Source organism: Homo sapiens, chromosome 14 (assembly GCF_000001405.40).
Source record: "Homo sapiens chromosome 14, GRCh38.p14 Primary Assembly".
NCBI lineage: Eukaryota > Metazoa > Chordata > Mammalia > Primates > Hominidae > Homo > Homo sapiens.
In genome coordinates this window covers 22784175-22806241 of record NC_000014.9, presented here as the reverse complement: position 1 = coordinate 22806241, position 22067 = coordinate 22784175, and the positions used below count along the sequence as shown (strand labels likewise).

The 22067-nt window shown below is 46.3% G+C and overlaps 1 protein-coding gene across 4 annotated transcripts in view, besides 4 other annotated features; it reads left to right on the top strand.

Annotated features, from left to right (window-relative positions):
- Window positions 1–22067, top strand: part of SLC7A7 (solute carrier family 7 member 7) — a 46570-nt gene that overhangs the window by 13550 nt on the left and 10953 nt on the right. The window lies entirely within an intron of this gene.
- Window positions 1435–1484: a silencer, noted in NCBI's record as "silent region_5588". NCBI's record gives its function as "represses an Ori minimal core promoter by ATAC-STARR-seq in GM12878 lymphoblastoid cells {active_cell/tissue: GM12878}" and the evidence as "EXISTENCE:reporter gene assay evidence [ECO:0000049][PMID:35858748]".
- Window positions 2675–2734: an enhancer, noted in NCBI's record as "active region_8142". NCBI's record gives its function as "activates an Ori minimal core promoter by ATAC-STARR-seq in GM12878 lymphoblastoid cells {active_cell/tissue: GM12878}" and the evidence as "EXISTENCE:reporter gene assay evidence [ECO:0000049][PMID:35858748]".
- Window positions 3135–3184: an enhancer, noted in NCBI's record as "active region_8141". NCBI's record gives its function as "activates an Ori minimal core promoter by ATAC-STARR-seq in GM12878 lymphoblastoid cells {active_cell/tissue: GM12878}" and the evidence as "EXISTENCE:reporter gene assay evidence [ECO:0000049][PMID:35858748]".
- Window positions 9659–9728: an enhancer, noted in NCBI's record as "active region_8140". NCBI's record gives its function as "activates an Ori minimal core promoter by ATAC-STARR-seq in GM12878 lymphoblastoid cells {active_cell/tissue: GM12878}" and the evidence as "EXISTENCE:reporter gene assay evidence [ECO:0000049][PMID:35858748]".

The window sequence follows — 22067 nt, the reverse complement described above, 5'->3', positions numbered from 1 at the left end:
CCTGGGCGACAGAGCAAGACTCTGTCTCAAAAAAAAAAAAAAAAAAAAAAAAAAGAGATTGATGTGTGAATGATAATGTCAGTTTACTGATGTATGTACAGTTTTTTTTTTTTTTTTTTTTTTGAGACAGAGTCTCGCTATGTCAGTAGGCGGAGGTTGCAGTGAGCCGAGATCCCAGCTTCAAGCGATTCTCCTGCCTCAGCCTCCCGAGTGGCTGGGATTACAGGCTCCTGCCACCACACCCAGCTAATTTTTGTATTTTTAGTAGAGACGAGGTTTCACCATGTTGGCCAGGATGGTCTCAATCTCCTGACCTCGTGATCTGCCCGCCTCAGCCTCCCAAAGTGCTGGGATTACAGGCGTGAGCCACCGCCCTCGGCCTTTGATGTATGTACAGTTTATTGATGAGCATACATGGGTAATTTCTTTTTTTAAAATTTTTATTTATTTAATTTTTCTTCCACTTTTATTTTAAGTTCCAGGGCACATGTGCAGGATGTGCAGCTTTGTTACATAGGTAAACATGTGCCATGATTGTTTGCTGTACAGATCAACCCATCACCTGGGTATTAAGCCTAGCATCCATTAGCTATGATTCCTGATGCCCTCCCTCTACCAACCTCTACCGACAGGCCCCAGTGTGTGTTGTTCTTCCCCCGCATTTGTCTATGTGTTCTCACCGTTCAGCTCCCACTTATAAGTGAGAACATTTGGTGTTTGGTTTTCTGTTCCTACATTAGTTTGCTGAGGATAATGGCTTCCAGTTTCATCCATGTCCCTGCAAAGGACATGATCTCATTCCTTTTTATGGCTGCATACTATTTCATGGTATATATGTACCACATTTTCTTACTTGCCGTACCTTTCTTTTTCTTTTGAGACTGAGTCTTGCTCTGTCACCTAGGCTGGAATGCAGTGGCATGATCTTGGCTAACTGCAACCTCTGCCTCCTTGTTTTGAGTGGTTCTCTGCCTCAGCCTTCTGAGTAGCTAGGATTACAGGAGCCCACCACCACACCTGGCTAATTTTTGTATTTTTAGTAGATATGGAGTTTCCCCATCTTGGCCAGGCTGGTCTTGAACTCCTGACCTTGTGGTCCACCTGCCTTGGCCTCCCAAAGTGCTGGGATTACAGGCATGAGCCACTGCACCTGGCCAGGTGTTCCTTTTTCTCTGCAAACTTGTCAGCATCTGTTGTTTCTTGCCTTTTTTTGTTTGTTTGTTTTTTGTTTTTTGAGACGAAGTTTCACTCTTGTTGCCCAGGCTGGAGTGCAATGGCACAATCTCGGCTCAATGCAACCTCCGCCTCCCAAGTTCAAGGAATTCTCCTGCCTTAGCCTCCTGAGTAGCTGGGATAACAGGCGTACACACCCCCATGCCCAGCTAATTTTGTATTTGGCTAATTTTGTATTGTTAGAGACGGGGTTTCTCCATGTTGGTCAGGCTGGTCTTGAACTACTGACCTCAGGTGATCCACCTGCCTCAGCCTCCCGAAGTGCTGGGATTACAGATGTGAACCACCATGCCTGACTGTTTCTTGACTTTTTAATTATTGACATTCTGACTGACGTGAGATGATTTCTCATTGTGGTTTTGATTTGCATTTCTCTAATGATCAGTGCTGTTGAGCTTTTTTTCATGTTTGTTGGCCGCATGAATGTCCTCTTTTGAGAAGTGTTTGTTCATGTCCTTTTCTCACTTTTTAATGGGATTGTTTGTTTCTTTCTTGTAAATTTGTTTAAATTCCTTGTAGACTCTGGTTATTAGACCTTTTTCAGATGGATAGATTGCAAAAATTTTCTCCCATTCTGTAGAGGTTGTCTCTTCCCTCTGATGATAATTTATTTTGCTGTGCAGAAGCTCTTTAGTTTAATAAGATCCCATTTGTCAATTTTTGCTTTTTTGGCAATTGCTTTTGGTATTTTTGCCATGAAATCTTTGCCCGTGCCTATGTCCTGAATGGTATTGCTATAAAACCCTAGATTTTTTTCTAGGGTTTTTATAGTTTTGGGTTTTACATTTAAGTCTTGAATCCATCGTGAGTTAATTTTTGTATAAGATATAAGGAAGGGCTCCAGTTTCAATTTTCTGCATATGGCTAGGCAGTTCTCACAGCACCATTTATTAAATACGGAATCCTTTCCCACATGAGTAATTTCTAATGACCAGAAGGTGTGTGTTCACTATCAAGGCATCCCCTCCCTGATACCCTAGTAACTGGGAAACCAATCTAGTAATCAGGAAGTTGCTTGCAGGGTGTGGAATTGGAACAAAAGAAGAAAGTTTGAATAATTTGAGAAATTTTTTCTGAACATGTTGGGCTCTATAAAGCATGGAACTGAAAGGTGGAGCCCCTGCCTGTAGGGAACGCACAGTGTGGTGGGAAGCGAGGTAGACATAGTCACTTAAACATGTATATGTGGCAGGTGCTTGCAGGGGTGGAGAGTGGCTTGTTCAGGGGATGATGTCTGCATCAGCACTGAAGGATGAAAGGAGTCAGGCTGGGCTGAAGCACCCACATTTCTACCGTGGCCTATGTGGCCCTACTCCACCTGACTTCTTTGATTCACCTTGGACTTCTTGCCCTCACTTTGTCTGCTCCAGCTACACTGGCCTTCTTGCCTCTCCTGCATTTTCCTGGCACATACATGTCTCAGGGATTTTGTATTTGTTTCTTCTGCAAGGAAGGCACGTCTCCAGATGCCTGCAGAGCTTATTCCCTTACTCCATTCACCTCTTTGCAAAAATAGTACCTTACTAGAGACCTATCGTATCTAAAATGGTCACTCTCAGTTCCCCATCCTGTTTTCTTTTTCTTTTTTTTTGAGATGGTGTCTCGCTCTGTTGCCCAGGCTGGAGTGCAATGGCACGATCTCAGCTCACTGCAACCTCCGCCTTCCGGGTTCAAGCGATTCTCCTTCCTCAGCCTCCTGTGTAGATGGGATTACAGGCGCTGCCACTGTGCCTGGCTAATTTTGGTATTTTAGCAGAAATAGGGTTTCACCATGTTAGTCAGGCTGGTCTCAAACTCCTGACCTCAGGCGATCTGCCCGCCTTGGTCTCCCAAGGTGCTGGGATTACAGGCATGAGCCACCGTGCCTGGCCTCTTTTTCTTTATAACAGTGTTCAACACATCATTTACTTGTCTCTCTTTCCCTCTAGAATATAAACATATGTGAATAAGGACTTTGTTTTACTCACTGCTGAATCACCAGCACATAGAACAGTGCCTGGTATCTGCTAGGTGCTCAATAATTGTATGTTGAATGAAGAAGGGGGCAGGACGTTTTAGGCACAGGGAAAGCCAATGTAAAGGCACAAGATGAAAAAAATGTATGGGGTGTGGGGGTGCATGGGGGATTGTGGGATATGAGGGGACCAAGATGGGCAAGGGGCTAGAACACAAGGTATATCTTTGTAGGGTTTTAGAATTTATTCAAAGCATATGAGGAACCATTAAAGGACTTTAAACAGGGGAGTGATATAGCTGGGGTGGAACTTAGGGGACAAGGCTGGAGGCAGAGACACTATTAGGAAGCTCTTGTAGCAATCCAGGCAGGAAATGACAAAAACCTGAACTACGGTGATGGCAGTTGGGGTGGACAAGGAAGGATAGATCTGAGCACAATTTAGAAGGTATAATCAATACAACCAATGAGACCTATTAAGATGTCAAGTATAAGGGAGAGGGAAGTGTCAAGGAAAACATCTACCATCTTGTAAGTTTTGTGCCAGAAGAGCTGTGCCTATCTATAATCCACTGTATCCCCAGCAAGGAAACAGAGAAGCTTGATAAATATTTTTTTTGTTTGTTTGTTTGGTTGTTGTTGTTGTTGTTTTGAGACAGAGTCTTGCTCTGTCGCCCAGGCTGGAGTACAGTAGCAGGATCTTGGCTCACTGCAACCTCTGCCTCCCGGGTTCAAGGGATTCTCCTGCCTCAGTGTCCTGAGTAGCTGGGACTACAGGTGCATGTCACCCCGCCCTGCTAATTTTTGTATTTTTAGTACAGATGGGGTTTCACCATGTTGGCCAGGCTGGTCTCGAACTCCTGAACTCAAGTGATCTGCCTGCCTCGGCCTCCCAAAGTGCTGGGATTGCAGGCGTGAGCCACCTACCGTGCCCGGCCCTCAATAAATAGTCTTTGAATGAAGAGATGATGTTTCTGGTTTAGACAATTTGTAGGCAGTGATATCATTTACTGTGAGGAGGAGGATGGGGGCATGTTGAATTTGGAATTTATTTTTAGCATAGTAGGCAGATATGCTCTTTGGAATTTAGGAAAGAGATAGGGTTGGAGATTAAACATTCAACAAGTATTTGCGAAGAGGTTGCCACGTTCCCTGCACTGTCATTGTCTTTTTGGAGCACTTTATGTGTGTGCGTGGGTGTGTGTGACCGCATGCATGGGTGCATGCCGGGGTCAGGATGGGCAACCCAATACAGGGATTTTTGTTTTGTTTTGTTTTTTTGAGACGGAGTCTCGCTCTGTCACCAGGCTGGAGTGCAGTGGCGCAATCTCAGCTCACTGCAACCTCTGCTTCCCAGGTTCAAGAGATTCTCCTGTCTCCTCCTGAGTAGCTGGGACTACAGGCATGCACCACCATGCTCAGCTAATTTTTGTATTTTTTAGACGGGGTTTCACCATGTTGGCCAGGATGGTCTTGATCTCTTGACCTCATGATCCGCCTGCCTCGGCCTCCCAAAGTGCTGGGATTACAGGCGTGAGCCACCGTGCCTGGCCTCTGATACAGGGTTTTAATGGATTGTGATGGTGTTGTGATTTGCAAGGTAGAACAAGGCACAGGAGGAGACCAGTCCTAACCTAGGCATTTAGAAACCATTCCTGTAGAAGTTTGAGCTGATACCTGAATGGCGAAGAAGAATTAATCAAGAGTAGAAGAGGAGTGTTCCAAGCAGCAAGAACAGAATGTATGAAAACCTAAATGCCAGAAGTGCTCCTTTCAGGCACTGAAAGGAGTTCAGGGTGGGCTGCAGTGTTGAATTTCAGGAAGAAAAGGTTGAGAGTTGGCTTGCAGAGGTAAATAGAGTCAAGGCATAGGTTGTTCAAAGCTTTATAAGCTGTGCTAGTTATTATTGTGCTATAACAAATAGTCTAAAACGTAGTGTCTTAAAACAGTAGTCATTTTTTTTATGATTTCTGTGGCTTAGAAATTTGGGAAGGGCTTAGTGGGACAGTTCTAGGTCAGGGTCCCTCATGTGGTTGCAGCAGATGGTGACAGGAGCTGGAAAAACGGTTGCTGAGGAAGTTGCAGACAATCTGGGCTTCTTTTTTTTCTTTTTTTGAGGTGGAGTCTTGCTCCGGTTGTGCAGGTTGGAGTGCAGTGGCGCGATCTCGGCTCACTGCAACCTCCACCTCTCAGATTCAAGCAATTCTCCTTCCTCAGCCTCCTGAGTAGCTGGGATTACAGGCGTGCCCCACCACGCCCGGCTAATTTTTATATTTTTAGTAGAGACGGGGTTTCACCGTGTTGGCCAGGTTAGTCTTGAACTCCTGACCTCAGGTGATCTACCCGCCTCGGCCTCCCAAACAAAGTGTTAGGATTACGGGTGTGAGCCACCGCACCCGGCCTTCTTTATCAAATTGTGTCAGTCTTTCCATGTGGTCTTTCCGTATGGACTGTGTTGAGCTTTCTCACAGCGTGGTGACTCGTGGGCAGTCAGACTGCTTATGCAGGCAGCTGAAAGCGTCCAGAATGAGTGTTGTAGCACCCAAAGTGGAAGTTGCATTGCCTTTTATGACCTAGTCTCTGAAGTTGCATGGTGTCAATTCTGTCATACTCTATAGGTAGAGGCATTCACAGAAGACCATCCAGTTTCGAGAAGAGGGGTACAGACCCTGCCTCTTGATGGGTAGAGTGTCAAAGTCACATTGTAAGAAAGGAATATGGGATGGGAGACGTTGAGGCATATTGGAAAACTCCAATCTATTGCACCAACTATATTAAGGAGTTTGGTGGGCTGTCTTCTAAGGCAATGAGAAAACTCTTAAGGCCTTTAAAAGCAGAAGAGTGGCATTTGTGATTTAGATTTTAGAATTTGTGAGTTTAAGAAAGATTAGTTTTTCTATGTAGGATTGAAAGCTGGGAGACAGGTGGGAAGCTGCTGCTATGATCCTAGTGAGAAATGATGGTGGCTTGGACTAGAGTCATGTTTTGGGGACAGGGAGACTTAAGACTTGGACTATGAGTAGATATGAGTGGAAGTTGTTGATGACAATAACATGCCCAGGTCTTTGGCTTGCATAAATGGGTGGATGGTGACGCCAGTTACTTGTATGGGGAACACCGAAGGTGCAGTAGGTTTGGGAGAAATTGATGGAATCAGTTTTGGACATGTTGAGTTTGATGTGCCTGGTAATGTCCAGTAGGTGGTTGAATATTCATATATATCTAGAATCATGACAGTTGGGCTGATGATATACTTTTGGGAGTCATCATTGTATATATGGTTATTGAAACCATAGGAACAGGCCAGGGCGGTGGCTCACACCTGTAATCCCAACACTTTGGGAGGCTGAGGTGGGCTGATCACTTGAGGCCAGGAGTTCGAGACCAGCCTGGCCAACATGGCGAAACCCTGTCTCTACTAAAAATACAAAAACTAGCCGGGCATGGTGGTGTGCACCTGTAGTCCCAGCTACTCTGGAGGCTGAGGCAGGAGAATCGCTTGAACCCTGGAGGAAGAGGTTGCAGTGAGCCGAGACAGCTCCACTGCACTCCATCTTGGGTGACAGAGCAAGATTCTGTCTCAAAAAAAAAAAAAAAAAAAAAAAAGAAAGAAAAAAATAAAAAGAAAAAGAAACCACAGGAACAGATGAGATGACCTTGGGACAAGATGTAGAAAGGGAGGACAAAGGGGCTTAGAAGCATTCTGAGGAATACCCACATTTGAGGGATAGGTATTTTGTGAAAAGATGGAGAAGGAGCATCTAGAGAGATAGGTGGAAACCTGGAAGATGGTGAGTGGAAGGGAGTGAATTGAGAAGGAATGAATGACTACCTGTGTCCAATCTGCTAAGAGGTCAAGCTAGGTAAAGATTGAGTATAGTTGATTGGATTTATTGATATGAAGGTCACTGGTGGCTTTTCATGTGGGCTTTCTCCTAAGGCAATGAAATTTCAGGGCAGTGAGGGTGAAATCAGGTTTCAGAAATATCATTTATTCACCCAGCAAAATGTATTAAGTGTTACTGTGTGTCTAGTTCAGGACTATGCCCATGGGTACAAGGATAACTGTTATCCACTCTCTGCCCTCACACAGCTCTCGTGGGTGGGAGAGACATATGTACACTGTTCTAATGCAGTGTAGTTAATTGGGGAGGTGAGAGCACAGAGCAAGGGCAGCATACCAGAGGTGGCAGGTTTACACTCAAAAATAGCCTTTCTGGAGGAGCTATTAAGTTTAAAATAAGGAATAAAATGTCATTTGGAATTGGCAACTCAGAGGGTCAAAGGAAAACTTTTGCAGGGTGAAAGAGGAAGGAGTTGCAACATCTCAGACTGCATTGTAGAGACCCAGGAACGGGAAGGAATGTAGACATGCTCTTCAGATGAATGATTCTGAAAGCATGGAGGGTGATTGTTAGAGGAAAGGACCAAGGTTGAGGGACGATTTTATGAAAAAGAGTTAAGCCTGCCTTAGGTTGGTTGAGGTATGTTTCTGGAAAAGTTGGATGAAATATCTCTACCCTACAATGATGCCTTCTCCATGGCTGTAATGATTGGGTGCCCTGAGTCAGACTTCTTTTTCTTGAACAGTGTAGGGGATACCCTTATCCCTTTGGAAGGCACTGGTGCATGGTGGTGAACAGCGTGGAATCAGGCAGGATTCAATCAATGCTAGGTCAAATTTATTAGCCTCAGTTTCCTCTTGTTCTCCTTCTCCTTCTCCTTTTCCTCCTTCTCCTTCTTCTTCTTCTTTTTTTTTGACAGAGTTTCACTCTTGTTGCCCAGTCTGGAGTGCAGTGGCGTAATCTCAGTTTACTGCAACCTCCGCCTCCTGGGTTCAAGCGATTCTCCTGCCTCAGCCTCCCGAGTAGCTGGGATTACAGGTGCCCACCACTATGCCCGGCTAATTTTTTGTATTTTTAGTAGAGATGGGGTTTCACCATGTTGGCCAGGCTAGTCTGAAACTCCTGACCTCAGGTGATCTACCTTCCTCGGCCTCTCAAATTGCTGGGATTACAGGCATGAGCCACCGTGCCCAGCCCTCAGTTCTCTCTTCTATAAAATGGGGTCCCTACCTCATAGAAATGTGATCTATATTTGTACCATATTTTCATCTTTTTCTATTCAAATCATGACAGTTTCCAAAGAGCAAACACAGAGTCTCTGCTCCTGCCAGTTGTTTGCAGTCTTTTGGCAGGCATAGTCTACCTTTAGAGCTGTTGAACTACAGCCCTAGATAGTCTGGTATTACTAATAGACCTTGAAATCATTTACTGGTTATTGCTTAAGTAGGTTTTTTTATACGGGTGGTTGACTTCATTCATTGCTGATTTCATTGTCAGGGTAATAACGTTTTGCCCTCTCTGTCAGGAATATTGCTTCCCCTCCCCCACCCCAGCAGCAGCCTCCATGCACTCAGTCCAGATAACAGTGATCCTGGTGCTTGCCTGCACCCCATTCACTCCTCCAGTGACGTGTGGGTAGATAGGTTGCCTCTCAGTGACTTTCATAGCAACTGATTCTTGTAATTGTCAATGTCCACTTTTGAGTGAAGGCTGGAGACTGGATCTTAATCTCAGAGCCTGCACAGGGCCTGGAACACAGTGGGTACTCAATATAAGCTTAATGAATGAATGAATGAGTGAGTGAGTGAAGGAATTCTGAGTTTTGAAGGAGCCTCACTGTCCTGTCTAGGGTAGTAGAAATGGTTGCTTTTCCCAAACAGAGAGGTGTGCAGATGGCACCTCCTGAAGCTGCTTATTCTGACTTCTTGGAGAAATTCGTGGACTGCCCCAGTGCTCTGAAGTTCTAGGCATCTCCATTACCACAGGGGGAGATAATCCCACTCCCCGTCTCACATTCTTGCATACAGTTAGGGAGGTATGTGGTGTGGTGGAATGGATGTAGGCTTTGGAGCTAGTCACTGCCTGACCTCAGTTTTCTCAAGTGTAAAATAAAGATAATAAAACTTACTCTCTGTCAGATTAAATTAGAAGATAGGTGTAAGTACATAGTGACCTGGCACACAGTTGTCAGTTAAAAATAGTATCTATTACTGCAAGTTATATTCATATCATATGCATCTTATTGATTTCTAAAAGCTTTACCTTCCGCATGCTGTCTTTGGATGACTTAAAAGCAGTTTACATTTTACTTCACAATAGCTCAGGGATCAGAAAGGAGGGCTGAGCCTTTTCTTTCTGTTTTGCAAGAGAGGTGGAACTTTCCTCTCAGCAAGAGGATAGGTGTCCAGAAGTCCAGCTCCACCCGACTGTCCTTTCCTCAGAGCCAAGGTGTTTTGGCCCACTGTTCACAGGTGGACATGACTGTTCTTGCCTTACCTACACTTGCCCACACTGAGACCTAGTTGTTTTGCCATTCAGGACACTACCAGGACATTTTTACCATCTATGCCTTCAGTATGTCCCCTGTACCAGTGAGTCAGCAGTACCTGGCAGTTCAGGGCTCTTTGTTTACAGAGTACTGTTCTTCAGGGATCAGGCAAAGATTCTTCGTGTCATACACATGTGGCCACAGTGAATTGCATGTAGTGGGTTCTTCAATAAATGTTGGCTGGATGAATGAACAGAAGATATGATTCCAGGTTCAACTTGGCTGAGAAGGGTATTTCGTGCTTTTGCCTTTCAGGGTGCTGGTGGGGGCTGAGGGTTGCTGTGGGAAGGGGGCAGACAGCTTACCCTGAGTCTGCCAGAGCCGCTGTGGGCTGTGAAGGACTTTGGATCTCTGTGTGTCTGAGAGCTTTGGCCAGGTGTCCTCGTGCAGCTTCTCCTGGTACCAGAATGACTGATCTCATGTACTTGTGGCTAATGAGGTGGAACAGTCAGATGCTGGGCCCCCCAACGGACTTTTGCCCTTTGAACCTTCTACTTGGAAGCTAGTTGCCTTTTTCAGAGGGCTTTTCCCAAGAGCCATCTGAGGGTGGAGGTGAAGAAACTTACCTTTTCTGGCCCATATTCACCTCAAGAAATAGGCTTTCATCAGAGCCTTGGGTTCTAGTGTGGGTTTGTTGTGAACTTTGGAACAAACTCTTGACCAGCAGTGAAGGGGTAGACCTTTATGCTGCTTTGATCATCAAGTCCCTTTGGGGGCTCATCCTTGCTCTCTTCCTTTCTATGTTCTATGTTTCTATGTTCCTTTCTTTTTCTCTCTGCCTCAGAAGAAGCTGGGCAGGTAGCCTAGAGGAGGTTGCGGAAGATGCTGGGCAGCAGTGGGTCCTAACTCTGGCTGTGGATTGGAATCATCTGGAGAATTAAGAAAACAAGGCCGGGCACGGTGGCTCACGCCTGTAATCCCAGCACTTTGGGAGGCCGAGGCGGGCAGATCACAAGGTCAGGAGATTGAGACCATCCTGGCTAACATGGTGAAACCCGTCTCTACTAAAAATACAAAAAATTAGCTGGGTGTGGTGGCAGGCGCCTGTGGTCCCAGCTACTCGGGAGGCTGAGGCAGGAGAATGGTGTGAACCCGGGAGGCGGAGCTTGCAGTGAGCCGAGATTGCACCACTGCACTCCAGCCTGGGCGACAGAGTGAGACTCTGTCTCAATTAAAAAAGAAAAGAAAAGAAAAGAAAAGAAAAGAAAAGAATAGAAAAGAAAGAAAGAAAGAAAGAAAGAAAGAAAGAAAGAAAGAAAGAAAGAAAGAAAGAAAGCAAGCAAGCAATACTCAGATTGGGCACGGTGGCTCACACCTGTAATCCTAGCATTTTGGGAGACTGAGGTAGGAGGATGGCTTAAGCTCAGGAGACCAGTCTGGAGAACTTGGTCTCTACAAAAAAAAAAAAAAAAAATTAATTGGGCATGGTGGTGCATGCCTGTAGTCCCAGCTACTCAGGTGGCTGAGGTGGGAGGATTGTTTAAGCCCATTTGGTCCAAGCTGCAGTGAGCCAAGATTGTGCCACTGCATTCCAGCATGGGCAACAGAGTGAGACGCTGTCTCAAAAAAAAAAAAAAAAAAAAAAGAAAGAAAGAAAACAATACTCATCACTCCCACTCCCTGACTACATAAATCTGAACCACTGGGGAGAAGAATGAGATGAGAATTGGCTTGGAGAACGAGAATTAAGGAAGCAGAAAAATTGCTTTTGAGGAGAATTGATGAGGGTCTTGTGTCACTAGAGGTGGGAAAAGCCGTTCTCAATTGTCACCATGCTTCAGAGTCACCTGGGGAGTTTTAAAAACATGCCGATGCCTGGGTTCCACCCCAGAATTTCTGACTTCATTGGTCTGGGTGGGGCCTGAGCACTGGACTGTTAAAGCTCGTCAAGTGATGCTAGTTTGCAGCCAGGATAGAGGAGCCTTGAGTTAGCAAAGGGTTGCGACTGTTCTGATACAGCTGCTCTGTGTGTGGTTATTTCCGTAGGTGATTACCTAAGGAAACACACCCAGAGAAGCAGATCCTCAGATTAGCCTGCGAAACTGTCTCAGGTCTCCTGCATCAGAACCTCTGGGGTGTGGGGCCCTGAAGTTGTGGGTCGACAAATTCCTCAGGTGGTACTGATGCTCACTCAGGCTTGAGATCTGGTACCTGAGGACTTGAACTGACCCCTAGCTAAGCAAACCAATAAGGATTGGATTTACACGGCTTGGAGAAGGGACTCACGGGGTTGTTACTATAAGACCCTCCTGGTACAAACTGCCTGCTTGCTCCCTCAGAGTGGTCAGAGCCACAGGGACCAAAGTGCTGACTGAGTTCCAGGAAGGAGAGCGGGAGGACTCTGATCCAGTGACCCACAGGGATTGCATTTGGTGTGTCTTCTTGCCAGAGGTGTAACTGCCCAAGGGGTTCACCTTGCCCACTGCCTAGACAGAGCCAATTCTTCAAGACAGGGATATTGCAATAATGAGTAATTCACACAGAGCCGGCTGTGCGGGAGACCGGAGTTTTATTATTACTCAAATCAGTCTCCCCGAACATTCTGGGAGCAGAGTTTTTAAGGATAACTTGGTGGGTCAGGGGAAGCCAGTGAGCCAGGAGTGCTGATTAGTTAGAGATGAAATCACAGGGAATCAGAGCTGTCTTCTTGCTCTCAGTCAGTTCCTGGGTGGGGGCCACAAGATCAGCTAAGCCAGTTTATTGATCTGGGTGGGGGCCAGCTGATCCACCAAGAGCAGGGTCTACAAAATACCTCAAGCACTGATCTTAGGAGCAGTTTAGGGAAGGTCAGAATCTTGTAGCTTCCAGCTGCGTGACTCCTAAACCATAATTTCTTTTTTTTTTTCGAGATGGAGTCTTGCTCTGTCACCCAGGCTGGAGTGCAGTGGTGTGATATTGGCTCACTGCCACCTCCACCTCCCGAGTTGAAGTAATTCTCCTGCCTCAGCCTCCCTAGTAGCTGGGGTTACAGGTGCACGCCACCACACCCAGCTAATTTTATTTTTTATTTTTAGTAGAGACAGGTTTTCACCATGTTGCCCAGGCTGGTCTTGAACTCCTGACCTCAGGTGATCCGCCCTCCTATGGCTCCCAAAGTGCTGGGATTACAGGCATGAGCCACCGTGCCCAGCCCTAAACCATAATTTCTAATCTTGTGGCTAATGTTAGTCCTACAAAGGCAATCTAGTCCCCAGGCAAGAAGGAGGTCTGCTTTGGGAAAGGGCTGTTATCCTCTTTGTCTAAATTATAAACTAAGTTTCTCCCAAAGTTAGTTCAGCCTATGCCTGGGAATGAATAAAGGCAGCTTGGAGGTTAGAAGCAAGATGGAGTCAGTTAAGTTAGATCTCTTTCACTGTCTCAGTCAAAATTTTGCAATTACAGAGGCTCTCACCCATGACACCTGAGTAAGCGAATTGGTTGTTTCTTTAAAATTTTTATTTTAATTGGCTGGGCGTGGTGGTTTACGCCTGTAATCCCAGCACTTTGGGAAGCCGAGGCGGGCGGATTACGAGGTCAGGAGATCGAGACCATCCTGGCTAACACGGTGAAACCCTGTCTCTACTAAAGAATACAAAAAATTAGCTGGGCTTGGTGGCGGGCGCCTGTAGTCTCAGCTACTTGGGAGGCTGAGGCAGGAGAACGGCATGAACCCGGGAGGCGGAGGTTGCAGTGAGCCAAGATCGCACCACTGCACTCCAGCCTGGGCGACAGAGCGAGACTCTGTCTTTAAAAAAAAAAAAAAGATATTTTTCTTTTCTTTTCCTTTCTCTCTCTCTCTCTCTCTCTCTCTCTCTTTCTTTCTTTGAGACGGGGCCTCACACTATCATCCAGGCTGGAGTGCAGTGGTGCAATCTCGGCTCACTGCAACCTCCGCCTCCTGGGTTCAAAATGATTCTCCTCTCTCAGACTCCCAGGTAGCTAGGATTACAGGCGTGCGCCACCACGGCTGGCTAATTTTTGTATTTTTAGTAGAGACGGGGTTTTGCCATGTTGGTCAGGCTGGTCATGAACGCTTGACCTCAGGTGATCCGCCCACTTCGGCTTCCCAAAATGCTGGGATTACAGGTGTGAGCCACCACCACGCCTGGTCAAAAATGTTATTTTATTTTCTGAGACGAAGTCTTGCTTTGTTGCCCAGGCTGGTGTGCAGTAGCATGGTTATGGGCTCAATCCTGCACTCAAGTGACCTTCCCACCTCAGCCTTCCAAGTAGCTAGGACCATCAGTGTGCACCACCAAGTCCAGCTAATTTGTAATTTTTTTGTAGAGAAAGGGTCTTGCTATGCTGCCCAGGCTGGTCTCCAACTCCTGGCCTCAAGTGATCCTCACGTCTTGGCCTTCCAAAGTGCTGGGATTATAGGCATGAGCCACTGCACCTGGAGTAAAAGGTTTCTGTAGTCTGAAAGGTAAAATAATTTGAAGGCCATCTGCTATCTGAGAGAAATAACAGCACCTAGGGAGAGTGGAAGAAATAATGTATCAAAGAAGCCAGGGTGAAATTGTGATTTCAAGGTGTAGAGAGTTTCCAGGCCGGGCGCGGTGGCTCAAGCCTGTAATCCCAGCACTTTGGGAGGCCAAGGCGGGTGGATCACGGGGTCAGGAAATTGAGACCATCCTGGCTAACATGGTGAAACCCCGTCTGTACTAAGAGTACAAAAAAATTAGCCGGACGTGGTGGCGGACGCCCGTAGTCCCAGCTACTCGGGAGGCTGAGGCAGGAGAATGGCGTGAACCCAGGAGGCGGAGCTTGCAGTGAGCCGAGATGGCGCCACTGCACTCCAGCCTGGGCGACAGAGCGAGACTCCATCTCAATTAAAAAAAAAAAAAAAAAGGTGTAGAGATTTTCCCAAACCAACATTAGACAAAACAAATGGGGATGCAGCAAAGAAAAGGAAGAAGAGACTTGAAATCTCTGGGTTTAGGTAACAGATATGAGGCGTTTCCAGAGAGCTTATATCTGGACCTTCTGAGGAAACAGCAGTGGTAGAGTATTTTGGAGACACCAGGGTATTAGCAGGCCTGAGTATGCCAGTTGTGGGGTTTGGCCTTCCCCCAGGAATAGTGTGCATCTGACTATACACAGACCCAGCCTAACCTAGAAATGTGCAGTTTTTCTGAGCAACATGTGACCAAGAGCTTGCTCACACCAATTAAGCCTAGGGACTGCTATCCTTCTGCTAATTGCTGTGGGATGAATGATGTCACCAGTCAGAAGATAGCTGAGATGTCTCACTGGTGACGTGAAGTTTAAAGTAGCAAACTGAGTGGCAGGTGGAATTTTCGTCTCTTTGTCAGCTGAAGGCTGTGTATGTGAAAGAAAAAAGAACACAGAACAGAGTTCCTAACCGTAAATTCTAAGATTCTAAGATACCAGAAAGATAAACTCCTGGTAAGGGATAGAGGAGGTTTATAGGGATTGGGAGAGATGTGTATAATAAGGCTTTAGAATGGAAATTTTAGAGGCAAGGAGAAAAATGCCTAGATAAAAGTATAAATCTGGGTATTTTGGAGACTACATAGCAGAGAATAAAGGCAGAGAGGAGTTGCTCAGTAACGCATTTGGAGAAAATGGGATGGAAGATCAGAAATGATGCTTTTGAACTCTTATCTACAAATATTACAAGTAAGGCTAATAAACGTATTTGACCTTTTTTTTTTTTTTTTGTGAGACGGAGTCTCGCTCTGTCACCAGGCTGGAGTGCAGTGGCGCGATCTTAGCTCACTGCAACCTCCGCCTCCTGGGCTCAAGTGATTCTCCTGCCTCAGCCTCCCCAGTAGCTGGGACTACAGGCGCACACCACCACACCCAGCTAATTTTTGTATTTTTAGTAGAGACGGGGTTTCACCATGTTGGCCAGGATGGTCTCAATCTCTTGAACTCGTGATTCGTCTGCCTCCGCCTCCCAAAGTGCTGGGATTACAGGCATGAGCCACTGTGCCCGGCCCGTATTTGACCTTTTACTGAAAGGAGGAAACAATTTCATAGGCATCAGCGATATTTGATTAGAATATGATAATGAAAGAGTATACTTTGTTCAAAAATGATGATTTGCTAGAAGAGCTGGGATTCATGTAGTACATTAAAGAGAGAGGTACATACTTGTTTGAGGATCTGCTATCATAAGGGATGCCTGCCTTCTTTGCATAAGGTCACATTTAGATTCTTTTGATTGCAGTGAGAGGGAAATTTCAGTACACCAAGATCCAGTGAGCTGTCAAGGGTTTCACTTCCCCTTTCTCCATTTTTCAACAAATGTAATGAATAGTACCACCCAGTGCTACTTCCAGTTTTCTGCCTGCAGTTAGGTTTTTTTTTTTTTTTTTTTTTTTTTTTTGAGACAGTCTTGCTCTGTCACCCAGGCTGGAATGCAGTGGTGCAATCAAGGATCACTGCAGCCTTGACCTCCCCAGGCTCAAGCAATTCTCCCACCTTAGCCTCCTGAGTAGTTGAGACTACAGGTGCACGCCACCAGGCCCAGCTAATTTTTGTATTTTTTGTAGAATCAGGGTTTCTCTATGTTGCCCAGGCTGGTTTCAAACTCCTGAGCTCAAGGGATCAGCCCACCCTGGCCTCCCAAAGTGCTGGAATTACAGGAGCGAGCCACTGTGCCCAGCCAACATATGAGTTTTCTATTGCTTCTCTAACAAGTTACCACCAATTGAGTGGCTGAAAACAACACAAATTTATCATCTCATAATTCTGGAGGTCAGAAGTCTGAAATGGGTCTCACTGGGCTAATATGAAGTAGCACTGTGTTTCTTTCTGGAGGCTTAAGGAGAGGATCCATCTTCTTGCCTTTCCCAGCTTCTAGAGTCTCATGGACCCTTCCATTTTCAAAGTCAGCAGTAACTGGGAGAGTCTTTCTCATATTGTACTACTCTGACATTGACCTTTCTGCCTCCCTCTTTCATCTTTAAGAACTTTTGTGATTACATTGGGCCCACCCAGAGAATACAGAATGATTTCCCTGTTTTGTCACTTGATTAGCAATCTTCATTCTGTCTGCAACTTTTTTCTTTTTTTTTTTTTTTTTTGAGCCAGAGTCTTGCTCTGTTGCCCAGGCTGAAGTGCAGTGGTGTGATCTTGGCTCACTGCAACCTCCGCCTCCTGGGTTCAAGCAATTCTCCTGCCTCAGCCTCCTGAGTAGCTGGGATTATAGGCACCCACCACCACACCCAGCTATTTTTTGTATTTTTAGTAGAGACGGGGTTTCACCGTGTTGGTTAGGCTGACTCATGTTGGTTAGAATTCCTGACCTCAGGTGATCTGCCCGCCTTGGCCTCCTAAAGTGCTGGGATTACAGGCATGAGCCACTGCGCCTGGCCTCTATCTGCAACTTTAATTCTCCCTTGCCATGCAATATAACATGGCTCACAGGTTCCAGGGATTAGGGGGTGGACATCTTTGGGGGGCCATTAGTCTACCTACCACAAGTGATAGCCCAGCTTTCCACCGGAGGTGGATGAGCAGCACTCTGAAGTGATAACTTAAGGTGGATTCTTGCCCAAATTCTAGGCTTGTAAGTTAAATCTGGTTAGTGAAGTACGAGCAGAAGGGTGGGAAATCATTAGTAACGTGTATGAATTCACTAAGAACAAGCCATACTCTGCTAACCTCACTTTTTGGTTCAATTTTAATTTTTTTATTCAAATATAATATACAGAAGGAACAGTGCAATCTCATAAGTTTATGGCTTAATGAATTGTCACTAGTTGAGCACATGTGTAACTAGCACCCTTGAGCCCTTCTTATGCTCTTCCCAGTCCCTGCCTCTCCACCCCACACAAAGGGAAATCACTATTCTGACTTCTAGTAGCATTGATTAGTTTTCTCTGATTTTATGTAAATGGATATAATCTATATGTACACTTTTGCATCTGGCTTGCTTATTATGTTTGAGATTCTTCTGTATTTTTGTCTGTAGTCGTAGATTGTTCACTTTTTTTTTTTTTTTTTCCCAGACAGAGTCTCACTCTGTCGCCCGGGCTGGAGTGCAGTGGTAGGATCTTGGCTCACTGCAACCTCCACCTCCCGGGTTCAAGCGATTCTCCTGCCTCAGCCTCCTGAGTAGCTGGGATGACAGGTGCCCGCCACCACGCCCAGCTAATTTTTGTATTTTTAGTAGAGACGGGGGTTTCACCATGTTGGCCAGGCTGATCTCAAACTCCTGACTTTGTGATCTGCCCGCCTTGGCCTCCCAACGTGCTAGGATTACAGATTGTTTATTCTTAGTGCTGTTTAGTATTTATTCAATCTACTGTTGCTGGGCATTTGGGTTGTTTCTAGTTTTTGACTACTGCAAGGGTGTAACTATGAATATTCTACATAAATATATACTAATTTGATTTGAATTGTTTGATAGCATCATTAGATTGTTAGAGCAGAGGCATGTGTATGCAGATTTCGGAGAGGTTCGTGGCAAATTCTCATGATATTCTTGTTGACAAGGTAGACTAGATAAAAATAAAGTTTGGTAGATTCTTAGTTGGCTGAATAACATTGTGGAATAATGACAAATACAGAAAGGTCTACAGTGATAGACTATACAGCTCTGTTGATCTTAGTCAACATTTTAATTTTTTTTTTTTTGAGACGAACTCTCGCTCTGTCACCCAGGCTGGAGTGCGGTGGCGCGATCTCGGCTCACTGCAACCGCCGCCTCCCGGGTTCACGCCATTCTCCTGCCTCAGCCTCCCGAGTAGCTGGGACTACAGGCACCCGCCACCACGCCCGGCTAACTTTTTGTATTTTTAGTAGAGATGGGGTTTCATTGTGTTAGCCAGGATGGTCTCGATCTCCTGACCTTGTGATCTGCCTGCCTCGGCCTCCCAAAGTGCTGGGATTACAGGCGTGAGCCACCGTGCCCGGCCTAACATTTTAATTTTTTTATTAAAAAAATTTTTTTTGAGACAGAGTGTTGCTCTGTCACCTAGGCTGGAGTGCAGTGGCACAATCTTGGCTCAGTGCAACCTCTGCCTCCTAGGCTCAAACAATTCCCATGTCTCAGCCTCCTGAGTAGCTGGGACCACAGGCGTGTGCCATCACACCCTGCTAATTTTTGCATTTTCCTTTTAGTAGAGATGGGGTTTTGCCATATTGCCAGGCTGGTCTCGAACTCCTGGCCTCAAGTGATCTGCCTGCCTCAGCCTCCCAAAGTGTTGGGATTACAGGCGTGAGCCACTGCTGCCAGCCCATGTCAACATTTATTTATTTATTTATTTATTTTGAGACGGAGTCTCACTCTGTCGCCCAGGCTGGAGTGTAGTGGTGTAATCTTGGCTCACTGCAACCTCCGCCTCCTGGGTTCAAGCGATTCTCCTGCCTCAGCCTCCCGAGTAGCTGGGACTACAGGTGCCCACCACCACACCCGGATAATTTTTGTTCTTTTAGTAGAGACGGGGTTTCACTATGTTGGCCAACCTGGTCTCAAACTCCTGACCTCAGGTGATCCTCCCTCCTCGGTCTCCCAAAGTACTGGTATTACAGGCGTGAGCCACTGCGCCCGGCCCTAGTCAACATTTTTAGGGTGACTTCAGTGAAGACTCAGGAGGTATGCTGATCAAATTTGCAGATTTCACAAAATTAAAGAAGGGATTTGAACTAATAAAATGAAGAAGGAAAAATCCCATATCATATAAGAATAATGCATAAAAACTCAGAGGAAAGTCACTAAGACTAAATATGAAGTCCTGTATCTGGGGGGAAAAAATCACTTTTTTTGTTTTGGAGAAAGGATCTTACTGTGTTGCCCAGGCTGCAGTGCAGTGGTGCGATCACAGCTCCCTGCAGCCTTGACCACTTGGGCTCAAGCGATCCCCCTGCCTCAACCTCCCAAGTAGCTGGGACCACAGGTGTGTGCCACCATGTCTGGCTAACTAAAAAAAATGTTTTGTGGAGATGTGTTCTCACAATGTTGCCCAGGCTGGTCTTGAACTCCTGGACTCAAGCGATCCTCCAACCTCGGCCTCCCAAAATGCTGGGATTATAGGCATGAGCCATCGCACCCAGCTAAAAAAATCATTTTTATAGGTCCAGAAAGAGGGGAGGAAAGATCTCATCACTTTGAGGTGGGAAAGAAAGGAGTTGTAGTAAACAATGATTTCAGGTTGAGACTCCGTAGTCGGCAACACGGTCTGGAGTTTTCTGTGTGGGGTCTTGCATTTCTGGGGAAATACTGACACAGTGAAGTATATGCAGTAAATGACAAAGTGAAATAAATGACAGTCCTGGGATGGTGAGGGGTCTGGAAGCCACATTTGCTCCACAAGGGGTTGTAAAATCTGGGTTTTAGCCTGAAGGAGTAAAGACTCAAGGGGACAGGATGTTCATCCTTTTTGTTTGTTTTTAGATGGAGTCTTGCTCTGTGGCCAGGCTGGAGTGCAGTGCCGTGATCTCGGCCCACTGCAACCTCTGCCTCCCGGGTTCAAGCAATTCCCCTGCCTCAGCCTCCCGAGTAGCTGGGACTACAGGCTTGTGCCACCATGCCTGGCTAATTTTTGTATTTTAGTAGAGACAGGTTTTCACCATGTTGGGCAGGCTGGTCTCAATTTCCTGACCTCGTGATCCACCCGCCTTGGCCTTTCAAAGTGCTGAGATTACAGGCGTGAGCCACTGCACCTGGCTTTTTTTTTTTTTTTTTTGAGACAGAGTCTCGCTCTGTGGCCCAGGCTGGAGTGCAGTGGCGCAATCTCGGTTCACTGCAAGCTCCGCCTCCCGGGTTCACGTCATTCTCCTGCCTCAGCCTCCTGAGTGTCTGGGACTATAGGCGCCTGCCACCACACCCGGCTAATTTTTTGTATTTTTAGTAGAGATGGGGTTTCACCGTGTTAGCCAGGATGGTCTTGATCTCCTGACCTCATGATCCGCCTGCCTCAGCTTCCCAAAGTGCTGGGATTACAGCGTGAGCCACCGCGCCTGGCTTTTTTTTTTTTTTTTGAGATGGAGTTTTGCTTTTGTTGCCTAGGCTGGTGCAATGGCGAGATCTCAGTTCACCGCAACCTCCACCTCCCGAGTTCAAGTGATTCTTCTGCCTCAGCTTCCCGACTAGCTGGGATTACAGGCATGTGCCACCACGCCTGGCCAATTTTTGTATTTTTAGTAGAGACGGAGTTTCTCCATGTTGGTCAGGCTGGTCTCGAACTCCCAACCTCAGATGATCTGCCCGCCTTGGCCTCCCAAAGTGCTGGGATTACAGGCGTGAGCCAGCGCCTGGCCGTGATATTCATCTTTAATGTTAAGAAGGGCCATTGGGTGGAAGAGGATTTAGCTTCATTCTGTGTGGAGACAGAGGAGGGGTCTGGCACTACTGGTAGAAGCTGGGAGGAAGACGCTGTTGGCTTAGTAAAAGGAAGAGCTATAGATCACTTTATTTTATTTTATTTTTTGAGATGGAGTCTCACTGTGTCACCCAGGCTGGAGTGCAGTGGCGTGATCTTGGCTCACTGCAATTTCTGCCTCCCGGGTTCAAATGATTCTCCTACCTCTGCCTCCAAGTAGCTGGGATTACAGGCATGCGCCACCACACTCAGCTAATATTTATATTTTTAGTAGAGACGGGGTTTCGCCATGGTGGCCAGACTGGTCTCAAACTCCTGGCCTCAAGTGATCTGCCCGCCTCAGTCTCTCAAGGTGCTGGGATTACAGGCGCGAACCACCGCGCCTGGCTCTATAGATCACTTTTAAAATGGAATGACGCCGGGCATGGTGGTTCACGCCTGTAATCATAAGTTTTGTGTGTTACATTGTGTGTATTTAAAGGTAATAGTGCTTACAGAATTGTGGGTTTAATGTTCTTTTTCAGGAAATGTTTCATTTAGGTGTCTAAACTAAACCTGAGCATCTGATCCAGAGTGGGCCTGCAAGCTTTGTTCTGTTCTGGATCCACCTGGTCTGGTGCTTTCTGGCTTTTAGTTCTAGCGCTGATGCTGGGCCTTACCACTAGAACTAGTCTCCTACTCCCGGGGACCGTATGTAGGCTGGGTTTGATGATCCATTCAGGAACATCTTTTTAGATGGTTATAGGAGTGACTTCTCTTTTTTTTTTTTGAGATGGAGTCTTGCTCTGTCACCAGGCTGGAGTGCAGTGGTGTGATCTTGGCTCACTGCATCCTCCGCCTCCTGGGTTCAAGTGATTCTCCTGCCTCAGCCTCCCAAGTAGATGGGACTACAGGCACACACCACCATGCCCAGCTAATTTTTGTATTTTTAGTAGAGACAGGGTTTCACCATGTTGGCCAGGATGGTCTCGATCTCTTGACCTCGTGATCTGTCCACCTCGGCCTCCCAAAGTGCTGGGATTACAGGCGTGAGCCACTGCACCCGGCCACGAGTGACTTCTTTGCAGATTCTTTTTTTCTCCCCCTGGGGTCAAAGCAGGAGTGCTGCTGCACCGAGTCAAGGGTCAAAGGTGATTTCAGGTTATCCTCTTATAGACTTGGCCCAGTGTTGGGTGGGGATTGAATTGCCCCTAGAGGTAGAAGGGGAGGGC